Source organism: Homo sapiens, chromosome 1 (assembly GCF_000001405.40).
Source record: "Homo sapiens chromosome 1, GRCh38.p14 Primary Assembly".
Lineage (NCBI taxonomy): Eukaryota > Metazoa > Chordata > Mammalia > Primates > Hominidae > Homo > Homo sapiens.
In genome coordinates, this window is record NC_000001.11 from 212,777,776 (window position 1) to 212,791,295 (window position 13,520).

General features: G+C 41.1%; 1 protein-coding gene across 5 annotated transcripts in view, besides 1 other annotated feature; it reads right to left on the reverse strand.

The window, feature by feature from the left end:
- Positions 1-13,520, reverse strand: part of NSL1 (NSL1 component of MIS12 kinetochore complex) — a 65,625-nt gene that overhangs the window by 51,623 nt on the left and 482 nt on the right. For 4 of the 5 annotated variants that reach the window (NM_001297739.2, NM_001297737.2, NM_015471.4 and 1 more), the window contains exons 2-4: positions 9,784-9,862; positions 6,588-6,718; positions 4,597-4,651 (exon numbers count right to left, since the gene is read on the reverse strand). In NM_001297739.2, the coding sequence (NP_001284668.1) occupies positions 4,597-4,651; positions 6,588-6,718; positions 9,784-9,862 (265 nt within the window). The remainder of the gene's footprint in view (positions 1-4,596; positions 4,652-6,587; positions 6,719-9,783; positions 9,863-13,520) is intronic. The other variant, NM_001297736.2, reaches the window with a different exon arrangement.
- Positions 12,675-13,453: an enhancer, noted in NCBI's record as "H3K27ac-H3K4me1 hESC enhancer chr1:212963792-212964570 (GRCh37/hg19 assembly coordinates)". NCBI's record gives its function as "activates a minimal SCP1, AML or CMV promoter by ChIP-STARR-seq in naive H9 embryonic stem cells {active_cell/tissue: H9 hESC(naive)}" and the evidence as "EXISTENCE:reporter gene assay evidence [ECO:0000049][PMID:30033119]".

Consider the following 13,520-nt stretch of genomic DNA (forward strand, 5'->3'; position numbering starts at 1 on the left):
GTATGACAAAATGTGATTAACACTTAAATATGGGTGGTGGGAACAGAGATGTTCATTATGTTGCATTCTTTATTTTCTATATTTCTTTCAAATATGTGAAATATTTCGAAGAATAAAATAATCACACTGCCCTATGTATGCAGAATGAAATGGAAGAGAGCAAGAGTGAAACAAGAAGACCTTCTAAGAGAGCATTTGTAGAAATCCTGGCTAGAGTGATGGTAACCTAGAATAGAGATGACAATAACAAAATGAAGAGAAGTCAACGAATGTGAGATTATATTAAGAACAATTTATGGGACTTATTGATGGACTGGGTATGAGGAGCTTGACAGAAGAAGGAATCAAGGTTAACTTCAGCTAAAGCAACATGTAGGCATAGATGCCACTTACTCAAACAGGGAAAGGTGGCAAAGGAACCAGTTAGGGGGCATGAAAGAATCCTGTTTTATGTTCATCTTTTATTTCTCCTACTCAGACATAAGCTCTTTATGGGGAGAATCTGTCTGCTTTATCTTTGTATCCCCCAAAGTTCATAATGTAACTAAGTTGAATCAATGTTATACACACTGCCTAGTTTTGAAAAACAGACAACCCTCTTTAAAAGCGTCAGTTTTCGCTCTCTCCTCTCTCCTCTCTCTCCCCTCTCCCCACGGTCTCCCTCTGATGCCGAGCCGAAGCTGGACTGTACTGCTGCCATCTCGGCTCACTGCAACCTCCCTGCCTGATTCTCCTGCCTCAGCCTGCTGAGTGCCTGCGATTGCAGGCGCGCGCCGCCACGCCTGACTGGTTTTCGTATTTTTTTGGTGGAGACGGGGTTTCACTGTGTTGGCCGGGCTGGTCTCCAGCTCCTAACCGCGAGTGATCTGCCAGCCTCGGCCTCCCGAGGTGCCGGGATTGCAGACGGAGTCTCGTTCACTCAGTGCTCAATGGTGCCCAGGCTGGAGTGCAGTGGCGTGATCTCGGCTCGCTACAACCTCCACCTCCCAGCAGCCTGCCTTGGCCTCCCAAAGTGCCGAGATTGCAGCCTCTGCCCGGCCGCCACCCCGTCTGGGAAGTGAGGAGCGTCTCTGCCTGGCCGCCTATCGTCTGGGATGTGAGGAGCCCCTCTGCCCGGCTGCCCAGTCTGGAAAGTGAGGAGCGTCTCTGCCCAGCCGCCATCCCATCTAGGAAGTGAGGAGCGCCTCTTCCCGGCCGCCATCCCATCTAGGAAGTGAGGAGCGTCTCTGCCCGGCCGCCCATCGTCTGAGATGTGGGGAGCGCCTCTGCCCGGCCACGACCCCATCTAGGAAGTGAGGAGCGTCTCTGCCCGGCCGCCCCGTCTGAGAAGTGAGGAGACCCTCCGCCTGGCAACCGCCCCATCTGAGAAATGAGGAGCCCCTCCGCCCGGCAACCACACCGTCTGGGAAGTGAGGAGCGTCTCCGCCCGGCCAGCCGCCCCGTCTGGGAGGGAGGTGGGGGGTGGGGTCAGCCCCCCTCCCGGCCAGCCGCCCCGTCTCGGAGGGAGGTGGGGGTCAGCCCCCCGCCCAGCCAGCCGCCCCGTCCGGGAGGGAGGTGGGGGGGTCAGCCCCCCTCCCGGCCAGCCGCCCCATCTCAGAGGGAGGTGGGGGGGTCAGCCCCCCGCCCGGCCAGCCGCCCCGTCCGGGAGGTGAGGGGCGCCTCTGCCCGGCCGCCCCTACTGGGAAGTGAGGAGCCCCTCTGCACGGCCAGCCGCCCCGTCCGGGAGGGAGGTGGGGGGGTCAGCCCCCCGCCCAGCCAGCCGCCCCGTCCGGGAGGGAGGTGGGGGTGTCAGCCCCCCACCCGGCCAGCCACCCCGTCCGGGAGGGAGGTGGGGGGGTCAGCCCCCCGCCCGGTCAGCTGCCCCATCTGGGAGGTGAGGGGCGCCTCTGCCTGGCCGCCCCTACTGGGAAGTGAGGAGCCCCACTGCCCGGCCAGCCGCCCCATCCGGGAGGGAGGTGGGGGGGTCAGCCCCCCGCCCAGCCAGCCGCCCCGTCCGGGAGGGAGGTGGGGGGGTCAGCCCCCCGCCCGGCCAGCCGCCCCGTCCGGGAGGGAGGTGGGGGGGTCAGCCCCCCGCCCGACCAGCCGCCCCGTCCGGGAGGGAGGTGGGGGGGTCAGCCCCCCGCCCGAACAGCCACCCAGTCCGGGAGGTGAGGGGCGCCTCTGCCCGGCCGCCCCTACTGGGAAGTGAGGAGCCCCTCTGCCCGGCCGCCACCCCGTCTGGGAGGTGTACCCAACAGCTCATTGAGAACGGGCCATGATGACAATGGCGGTTTTGTGGAATAGAAAGGGGGGAAAGGTGGGGAAAAGATTGAGAAATCGGATGGTTGCCGTGTCTGTGTAGAAAGAAGTAGACATGGGAAACTTTTCATTTTGTTCTGTACTAAGAAAAATTCTTCGGCCTTGGGATCCTGTTGATCTGTGACCTTACCCCCAACCCTGTGCTCTCTGAAACATGTGCTGTGTCCACTCAGGGTTAAATGGATTAAGGGTGGTGCAAGATGTGCTTTGTTAAACAGATGCTTGAAGGCAGCGTGCTCGTTGAGAGTCATCACCACTCCCTAATCTCAAGTACCCAGGGACACAAACACTGCGGAAGGCCGCAGGGTCCTCTGCCTAGGAAAACCAGAGACCTTTGTTCACTTGTTTATCTGCTGACCTTCCCTCCACTATTGTCCTATGACCCTGCCAAATCCCCCTCTGTGAGAAACACCCAAGAATGATCAATAAAAAAAAAAAAAAAGGAAAAAAAAAAAAGTGTCAGTTTTCAAAGACATTTTATATCACTTAATATTACAATAAAGGAAAAAAAACTTTCAAGAGGTTCCCACAAAAGTTTTCCTATGCTGCTGATTCAGACTTTTAAGGCCCATAGAAATTTATGCTTTCCACTTTCTTACTAAGCCATTTTAATCAGTTTCATATGATTCTACCAGTTCGGTAGATTATAAGGTATACAATACTATAATGTATACTATTATAAATGGGATGCAATTTATAATAGGGTTATTATTATACAATATATCCTTATAAACTACTAGTCATGTATTGTTTTGGTTATATAGTTTATACAGCCCCTTATGTGGCTTGGTTATACTACCACCTAGATAAGTAGGCAAGACATTCTGTAATATTTAGTGCAGAGCTGGAATTCACGCCTAAAGCATCAGGCGGCAAATCCAGAATTCGTCATTTTACTAATAATGAAACTGATGCTTGAAGAAGTCAGGTGACTTGGCCAAAGATATAAAGCTAATAACTGTAGGCTAATTTTGCTCTCCTTAAGGAACTGATGCTATTCTAAGCTTGTTAACATTATGAAAATGCATAATGAAAAAACTCAAAATTTATCCAAAAGACAGATTCTAATTCTTTTGCTTACTTTTGAAGTCTGAATCATATGATACAGAAGATTCTTCCACTAATACTACATAATCAGAACAGTGAAAGTAAAATCACATTTCAAAGGGTCATTAACTAAGTGTGTTTTCCCTACGATAAAACGGTAACCAAGTTTCTTTAGAGGGAAATTAACTGTATCTAAAAAGTAATACTTGAGTATATCATAATACCACAAGTTTCAATTACTGTTTTTTTGTTATTCAAAACCAAAACAAGTATATGTCAACCACTGCATATTGGCAACTACCCCTTTTTAGTGAACCATGAAAACTGAGGAGTGTTAGGTCCTAGGTCAATTTTTAATGTCAAACACAATAAGTGATGTGATTTTAGTCAACTTCAGAGTAGCTTTATGCTTATACTTCCCCCCCTCTCAGTTTATCCCATTAGCTTAGGATATTTGGGGAAGGTGGAGGAACATATTAAAGAGTAGTTCAGAATTCAACAAAGTACTCAAAGCTTTAAGTATAAATATCCCATATAAATAAATCCGGGATTTAACTGTTTTATCCTAACAGTTTAGAAATGTCATTTTAAGTGCCAAAAGGAAATTCCAAAAGGACTCTTAGAAAAACTGTTATAAATTTTTAAATGTGAGAATACAGTCATTTGAAAATATACATAATCCACATTTTTAGCAATGCTAGTTCTGCTGCTGGATTTACATAAATTTGTTTGTGTCAAGTTTATTTCTCCCTGTTGTATGGGATACATATAAATGGAAACAAAACTGAGTTCAAAGGCATAATGAGTATACTTATTTCTTCTTAAATTCAATATATTTTTATTTGATTTTAGAAATAATGAGAAACCAATGATGGTTACTGCACCAGGTGTGACACTATGAGAGAATGCTTTAATAGTATAGCTTTGGCTGTAATGCAAAGAATAGATAGTACAATGACAGAGATAGGAGGGTATTAGAAGTTAGAGATGGGTATGTGTTATAATAGTCTGGGTCAGGCAAGAACTTTATAAAAGCTCAGATTCCGGGGTAACACCCCTGGAATTCTGAGTCAATGGGTGTAAAGCTAGTCCTCTTAATTCTAGATGAAATGCTAAACATGAATGACTGGTAGGAAGTTAAAGCATCAAAGGGAGAATATCCTTGATGCTGACCCTTTTAGAAGAATATCAGAAACCCATAAAAATTATAAGCAGATGCTTCATTTTTACCACAAATGGATACTGACTCACCTGGATCAGGGTCATATTTTAGGTCCAGTGGATGTACAACAGGGTGGTACTGCTTCTAAACATAACATAAATTAAAACAGATTTAATCACTTAATGCTTCATATAAACATCTCTTTCAGCTAATATGGGAGATATACTATAGAGTCAGTACCATTCTTTTGAGGAAAAAAAATTAAATCCTACTGTCTGTAGGGAAGAGGAGGTGAGAAGGTAAAACCAAACTAAGTCTGAATTATGTCTTTTACAGTACTGCCACCTGCTGCATATACTAAGAAGTGGCACCATAAAAAAGTATAATCAGAAAAAGCAATCAAGCAAATTAAAAGCATAGAAACTGAATTTTATGTTTAAAGTACAGGGTAGTCTCCAATTATGAAGGGACTGTGTTTCAAAAGTTCATTCAGGACAAGTGTTTAGAACTCAAAATGCATATTTCCATGAAAACTCAGTTCTAAAAGGTGGCGAGGCTACATTACCACCACACTAAGCCTATATATCCTGCGACACACTGAAATTATAGTAGCAGAATTACTGGCACAGAATCTACAATGCAGGCAAAAAGAAAGAGGAAATTGCTCTTCCTTATTCTTGCCCAAAGCCAGCAGAAGCCAAAAAGGTTAAAAGAAAGAAAACAAGAAGAAAAAAAGGTCTTCAGCCAGCTGTGGTGACTCACACTTGTAATTGCAGCACTTTGGGAGGCCCAGGCAGGAGAATGTCTTTTGCTCAGGAGTCTGAGACCAGTCTGAGCAACAAGGAGGGAAGAAGGGAGGAAAGACGCAGGGCAGGGCAGGGCAGGAAAAAATTTTGAAAAGGTCTTTGGTATCCTCACCTTATCTATTTTGCATTACTTTTTAAACTACCACAGCAGTACCTCACCTAGGCCAGCCATCTTTCTTTTCTGCAATATTGATTACTAGTTTTGGGGGTTTAGGGGTAGTGGGGCAGTAACAAGGGCAACACTGAAAAATACACTTTCAATGTTTTTCCTGAAAAAAACTTTCAAGTGGGAGGGGTGGGGGAAGTGATGGAATGCGGTATTTGAGAACTGCTATAAAGAAAATTAAAAATTCTGCTCATGAATACTGTTTTTCACAGAATAACTAAAATGTTTTAGATACAATATTAAGCCGGGCATATAATGACCTGAAACAATCCTGAAACTGAGGCAACTAGAAGATTTATATGTGAACATTTATGTACTAATTTCAAAAACTAAAGGCAATAGTATAGCACAATCTAAACACAACATGTACCTCACTGGAGGGACAATGCTATTCCCAGCAAACCTCCCCTCCCCACCAAGGGAAGATTTGGGTCCAATTTTCTTGTGGATTTCCTATTTTTTATTTATTCTAGTCCTAATAAATCTGAAAAGATGAGGGTGTGATATGGTTGGTCATTGATATCTATAGTAATTATAAGAAGGAAGTCTACGGCTCTGCTTGTCTAAAAAGCTCGTGCTGAAGGAGCTGAATTCCTGGTCTTGTCACCCAGATGTTCATGATTTTTGCAGCAAAACAAATTACACCCAATTCATAAAGCAAATTTCAGTGTTATGAACAGGTACTAAAACAATCTTCATCATCAATTTAACTAAATGGTCTTCCAAAATATACAAACATACAAATATATGCCAAAAAAAAACAACAAACAGAAAGAAAAGTGTTAAAAGAAAAGCTTCTTTTTCCATCCTTGTCTCAGAATCATAAAGTCATTGTCAGTCTTCCATCACCAATTTCAATTTTAACCACTCACTATAACTTTCATTTTTTTCATTTTTGAACCAGTGTGTTCAAAACACAGTATAGTATGACTATACTATGTCATAGTACAACTTAGAAGAGTAAAGTCTTACAAGAGACAAACAATACTAATTGAGGCAGGAAAGAAAAAGACAACAAAATGTCACTTATCTCCACGTAGAGCCTTATATTTTAATGTTTTTATTGTGGTAAAATATACTATAACATTTTAAAGGCAAATCATCTTACCAGAATTTCTTGTTTTGCTTTTATGGTTTTGATGACACATTCCAGGATCTTTCTGGGATACTGCTTACGTTTTGTGGCTATATCTACTATGATTTCATCAAACTGATCTTCAAGTACTTTGATGTCAGAATCTATTTGAGAAAAAAAAATGTATATATAAAAAGTTCCCTAAAACTCATTGTTTACATTCTGTATGGAAATGTGCTATAAACTAAATTTAGAAAACACAAAATAATGAAGGAAAACAAATATGGCAAGTTAATGAATGCCCCCACTTTGGTGATTAATTTATTTACGCATTGAACAATCAATTATTGAGCATCTATAAGAAGCCAGGCCTAAACAAGAGAAATACAAAGATGAGCACAACATGATTCCTACTCTCTAAGAGTTCACAGTTTGCTGAAAGAAACAGACAATTGCAAGGCAACCTGATAAGTGCAATAGAGGTATGAGCAAAATGCCATCAGGACACAGAACAATGGAAAACTGACTGACTGTGAAATATAAGACTTTAAAGAAGTAACATTTGAGCTTGAAATAGAAGTATAAGTCCAATGGATAAAAAGTGGTACGGGAAAAAAGGAATAGGGAGAAGCATTTTAGGCAGTGGAAACAGTATTTGCAAGATCCTAGTCTTTGGAGACCTGAGAAAAGTTCTAAATGGCTACAGAATAAAGTAAAGGAGAAATGGATGATAAAATATATAAGAACCAGGCTGTAAAGGGTATTTAATATCAGGGATGCTAAGAAGTTTTGACTTATTATGAACTGACCCAAAGCTATGACAGTAGCAGTGAGTGGAGTAACTAGATCTGAAATAGGACTCAACTGGATTGATGGTAGGAAAAACTGAAAGATACAGTGAGTTTAGAGTTTCTTTCATTTAGCTAACTCTACTTTATCATATGCTTTTTCATGTTTTAAAACAGTGATTCTCAAATGTTAGAAGAATCACCTAACGAGTATGTTAGGAGTACAGATTTTTTTTTTAATACTTTAAGTTCTAGGGTACATGTACACAATGTGCAGGTGTGTTACATATGTATACATGTGCCATGTCGGTGTGCTGCACCCATTAACTCGTCATTTACATTAGATATATCTCCTAATGCTATCCCTCCCCACTCCCCCGACCCCACAACAGGCTCCAGTGTGTGATGTTCCCCAACCTGTTTCCAAGTGTTCCCATTGTTCAATTCCCACCTATGAGTGAGAACATGCGGTGTTTGGTTTTCAGGAGTACAGAATTTTGATTCAGTAAGTCTGAGATGGGGCCCAGAAATGAAGCACCCTAGATGAAAGGAATGTAGGTGATCCATCTAACTTTATTTTGAAAATCATTTTAAAGAGTAAAAATACTAAGTAGTTACAAATACTAAAGAGCTAAGTTCTTAGCTTAACTGGTCCTCATATTGCTCTGTTGTGTCAAAGTCTAAGCTAGAAATGGACCTATTTATTTTATTGATCAGAAGCTTTATTAGGAAGAAATCTAACATCTGAAACATAATTTTTGAAACATTTTGAGAAATTGCTGATATGTTTCGGTATATACATATCAGATAATCAAGTATATCAGGTATAGTCTTTCATTCATGTCACAAATATTAATTGAATCCCACTAAATTAGTTCTTTTGAGGGCACCCTTTTTTTCCTTTTTCTCTTTCTTTCCTTCCTTCTTTCTTTCCCTTTCCTTCCCATTCATTCTCCCTCCCTTCCTTTCCTTCTTTTCTTTCCTTTCCTCCCTCCTTCTTTCCTAGATAGATAGATAGAGAGAGAGACACACACAGATTGATTTTCAATAGCTTTTGGGGTACAAGTGGTATTTGGTTACATGGATGAATAGTACAGTGGTGAAGTCTGAGATTTTAGTGCACTCATCACCCAGTAGTATACATTGTGAAAGTACCCTTCTTTTGAGGGCAAGAAATAATAGTTATTTCTTACTTTGAATAATTATTTATATAAGCAGCCCTCCCTAAATTTTCATTTATCCATTAAAAAAGTTAAATAATTAGCCTGAAGAAAATAATGTACTATTTCACAATTAGTTAAAAAAAAAAAAAAGAAAAGTCTCCCAGGTAAATCTTTTTTGTAGAGAGGAACATGCTTTCTTAGCACTACCTAGTGATAAAGCTACAATTAAAATGTATCACAAAATTTGAACAGAAGCCAGGCACAGGCCTGTAATCCCAACACTTTGGGAGGCCAAGGCAGGCAGATCACCTGAGTTTGAGAGTTCGAGACCAGCCTGGCCAACATGGTAAAACCCCATCTCTGTTAAAAATACAAAAATGAGCCAGGCGTGGTGGCAAGCACCTGTGATTCCAGCTACTTGGGAGGCTGAGGCATGAGAACTGCTTGAACCTAGGAGGTGGAGGTTGCAGTGAGCTGAGATCGCGCCACTGCACTCCAGCCTAGGTAAGAGTGAAACTCTGTCTAAAAAGAAAGAAAAGAAAAATTGAACAGGAAAGAATTATTCATTAATTTAACATATTTCATAGGTGCCTACTATGAGCCAAGAGTTGAGAACAAGGTCAGGAGCAGTGGCTCACATATGTAATACCAGCACTTTAGGAGATTGAGGCTAGGAGTTTGAGACCAGCCTGGGCAACATGATGAAACCCTGTCCTCTACCAAAAATACAAGTTAGCCAGGCGTGGTGGCCACATGCCTGTAATCCCAGCAACTAGGGAGGCTGAGGCACAAGAATCACTTTAACCTGGGAGACAGAGGTTGCAGTGAACTGAGACTGTGTCATTGCACTCCAGCTTGGGTGACAGTGAGACTTCATCTCAAAAAAAAAAAAAAAATTGTCTTTTTAAGGAACCTTCTACAAAGATGTAACCTCATCCTTTACACGGTACTTGTATAATTAATAATAACTTCACACTTTTAAGGGTACTTCACTATTCACTCTAGAGATCACTTACAAAAATACAACTTGCTTTGTAAATAATTACAGAAATTCCCTGGGCCTCTTTTGTCATCTGGAGATAGCTCTACAGTATTTTCCAATAAACTATTGACAAAGAAGACTATTGAAGTCATAATCTCAGTTCTTTATTACTCCCCTAGTAAACAACTTCTTGAAAATAAATGACACTAAATATGGAGATTAAAAAACAGCATTCAAAACAAAATTAGCTGCAAAAATAACCCAGAAATTAATAATGGAAGGAAAAAGTCACATACCCATAAAACAATTATCTGAAGCTTCCTGCCATGCTTGCCCATTAATGCTGATATTCTCTTGCACAGCTGATTCAAAAGTCTGCAATAAATTCACAGTAGTCAAGTCACTAAAAATAATTTTAAATACTAAATTCAAACGTTTTAGCAAAATAATACTTCCAGATTTGTGACAGAGGAAATAAAAGTAGCAGAATAGCTAATTAGTATATCTATTCTTTTCAATGAAGATTCCACTTCAATCATTGATTCTACCTACATTTTGGGTCTCATAGCCATTATGCTACCCAAGAGAAAATCTGATTTAAAATTTTGGAATATTCTTATAAACAAACAAAAAAAAGTACTCCTAGAATGAAAGAAAAAATAAAATCTAACAAATTTAGGCTCAGTTGAATCTCAGGGGTATAAGTACTATATATGCTGCTGAATGACTGTTGATGTTAACAAGAGGGAAAACATACATGCTTAAAAATAAAATTATATTTTATAAAGGGCTGTATTTTTGAGAGATGAACACTTATGTAGCGATGAAATGACATGAGATCTAAGATATGCTTTAAAATAGCAAACGTAGGCCAGGTGCAGTGGCTCACGCCTATAATCCCATCACTTTGGGAAGCCAAGGCAAGAGGATTGCTTGAGGCCAGTTCCAGACCAGCCTAGGCAACACACTGAGACAACCTTCTCTACTAAAAAATTTAAAAATTAGCCAGGCACAGTGGCACATGCCTGTAGTCCCGGCTACTTGAAAGGCTGAGGCTAGAGGATTACTTGAGCCCAGTGGTTTGAGAATACAGTGAGCTATGATTGCCACTGTACTCCAGCCTGGGAGACAGAGGGAGAAGCAACTGTAACAAAATTTTGACAACTGTTGAGTTTGGTGGTGGATATATGGGTGTCCACTGTACTAAACTAATTTTTTGTAAGGTTGAAAATGTTCATAATACATTAAAAGATAAAGAACCAAAAAACAAAAAACAAAAACAAACAAAAAATAGACAAATTGGACTTCATCAAAATTTTTTTTAAATGATGGACTAAAGGAATTCGGCAGTACACATTTCCTATTACCCAACAATTTCACTTCTAGCAATGCATCCTAAAGGACTACTCTCATAAAAACTAAAGAGAATGTGCTAGAAATGTTCATTTCAGCACTGTTTGAAATTTTTAAAATTGTGGGAAAAAACCTAAAGTCAAAATTAGAAGAGTTAAATAGACAATATTCATACCACGCAGTACCTAAAAAGGATGAAGACAAGCTCTACGTAACACTAACAAATAATAGACATGTTTGGTTTCAAAAAAGGCAGGTCAATAACAATTCATCAGCATGACATTATTAATGGAGACAAACAAACATAAACAGAGAGAAAGAGGTAAAGCCACAGAAAGGGGGTATAGAAAGTTTACTCTCCCCAAGTACTCTCCAAAATAGTACCTTATGTCCTAGAAGGAAGAGGGATGGGGAAGGGGAACTCAAAGAATTTTGCTTTATGCTACTGTTTGAATTTTTTTATGAGCATATATTTTGTACCCTTTGTATAATTAAAAATAACATAAACCAAATTACTGATAATTATGAGTTAAAGTACATATTCTACATTTCAAAGATTTCATAAAGTAAAATCCTTATTTTATTTTTTGTTTGTTTGTTTTTTGTTTTTTTTGAGATGGAGTTTCACTCTTGTCAACCAGGCTGGAGTGCAATGGCGCAATCTTGGCTCACTGCAACCTCCGCTTCCCAGGTTCAAGCGATTCTCCTGCCTCAGTCTCCCGAATAGCTGGGATTACAGGCAAGCGCCATCACACCCGGCTAATTTTTGTATTTTTAGTATAGACAGGGTTTCACCGTGTTGGCCAGGCTGGTCTGGAACTCCTGACCTCAGGTGATCCGCCCGCCTCAGCCTCCCAAAGTGCTGGGATTACAGGCGTAAGCCATCGCGCCCGGCCTATGTATGTTTTAAAATTATTTTCTAGAATTACTTTCAAGAATTGCTGAGAAAACATATTGTCTTTGTAACATTCATTGCAGACTGCTACCAATACTGTTTTTAAAGAAAATCTGCTACTTAATATGCAGTTTTAAACAGAGATACAAAATAAAGCTTCTGCTTTATTTAAAATAAAACACAAGTGAATTCCTGTGGTAGTCTAAGCCCTGTAAACTTTATCTTATAATTCACTTTATCGTCCCACTAAATAGGATATAATAGGTTAAGCCAAGTTCCTCTTTTTCTGTAAGACACCTAAATGTTTTAAATACCTTAGCATTTCCTAGAATCAGACAAATTCTAAGATTATACAACAAAAGTCTTCTCCCAAAAAACTACTAAAAACGTCCTGAGATATATCCCTATTCTTGCCTTGCTTGCAAGGAGGGAATGACGTAAGAGTCACTATATACAAAACTACATACAGAGTCACAACCCAGGAAGTGTTTCTTCATTCTTCCACTGAACCTTTTTTTTTTGAGATGGAGTCTCGCTCTGTCACCCAGGCTGGAGTGCAGTGGCGAGATCTGGGCTCACTGCAAGCTCCGCCTCCCGGGTTCACGCCATTCTCCTGCCTCAGCCTCCCGAGTAGCTGGGACTACAGGTGCCTGCCACCATGGCCGGCTAATTTTTTGTATTATTATTATTATTGTTTTAGTAGAGACGGGGTTTCACCATGTTAGCCAGGATGGTCTCGATCTCCTGACCTCGTGATCCGCCCGCCTCGGCCTCCCAAAGTGCTGGGATTACAGGCGTGAGCCACCGCGCCCGACCCCTTTTGCCTGTTTTAGAGTGAAAACATTTTCTTTACAAGACTAAAATAGGTTAAAAAAAATTGTGTTGGTTGAAAACTTTACTAAGATCATACATTTGCCTCTATACCACATTTCCCAAGCCTTTCTTAAATATTTTTGCAAAGCCCTGAAGGTGGTAGTTTTTTGGGAACACAAGAAATAAAGGGATTGTGTGCTTCCTTATAACAGGCACCAATCTACTTATATTAGCGGAAAAAATTTAAAAGCTCATAATACCGCACATTTGTGAGTTATGAATGACCACAGTGCAAACAGTAAAAATAAAGGTTAATAGGCCGGGCGAGGTGGCTCACGCCTGTAATACCAGCACTTTGGGAGCCCAAGGCGGGCGGATCACGAGGTCAGGAGATCGAGACCATGCTGGCTAACACGGTGAAACCCTGTCTCTACTAAAAACACAAAAAAATTAGCCGGGCGTGGTGGCAGGCGCCTGGAGTCCCAGCTACTCAGGAGGCTGAGGCAGGAGAATGGCGTGAACCCAGGAGGCGGAGCTTGCAGTGAGCCGAGATCGCGCCACTGCACTCCAGCCTGGGCGACAGAGCGAGACTCTGTCTCAAAAAAAAAAAATAAAATAAAATAAATAAATAAATAAAACATGCAAAAGGAAAGATCAAATGCTGCTTGGGTGAATGGCTGACTTCCAGAATTACCCTTTCCAGGAGAATTCCTCATTGTCTGCGGCTGCATTGTCCAACAGGTGAGCCACTAGCCACTTTGTAGTTACTGAGCGCTTAAATGTAACTAGTTCGAAGATGTGCCGTAAATGCAGCACACCAGATTTGAAAAGCTTAGTACGAACAAAAGAATGTAAAATATCTCATTCATTTGATATTATTACATGTTAAAATACCTTGGATTTATTGGGTTAAACAAAATGTCTTATTTCCATTAACTTCACCTATTTCTTACTTTTAGTTTAAAACTACAT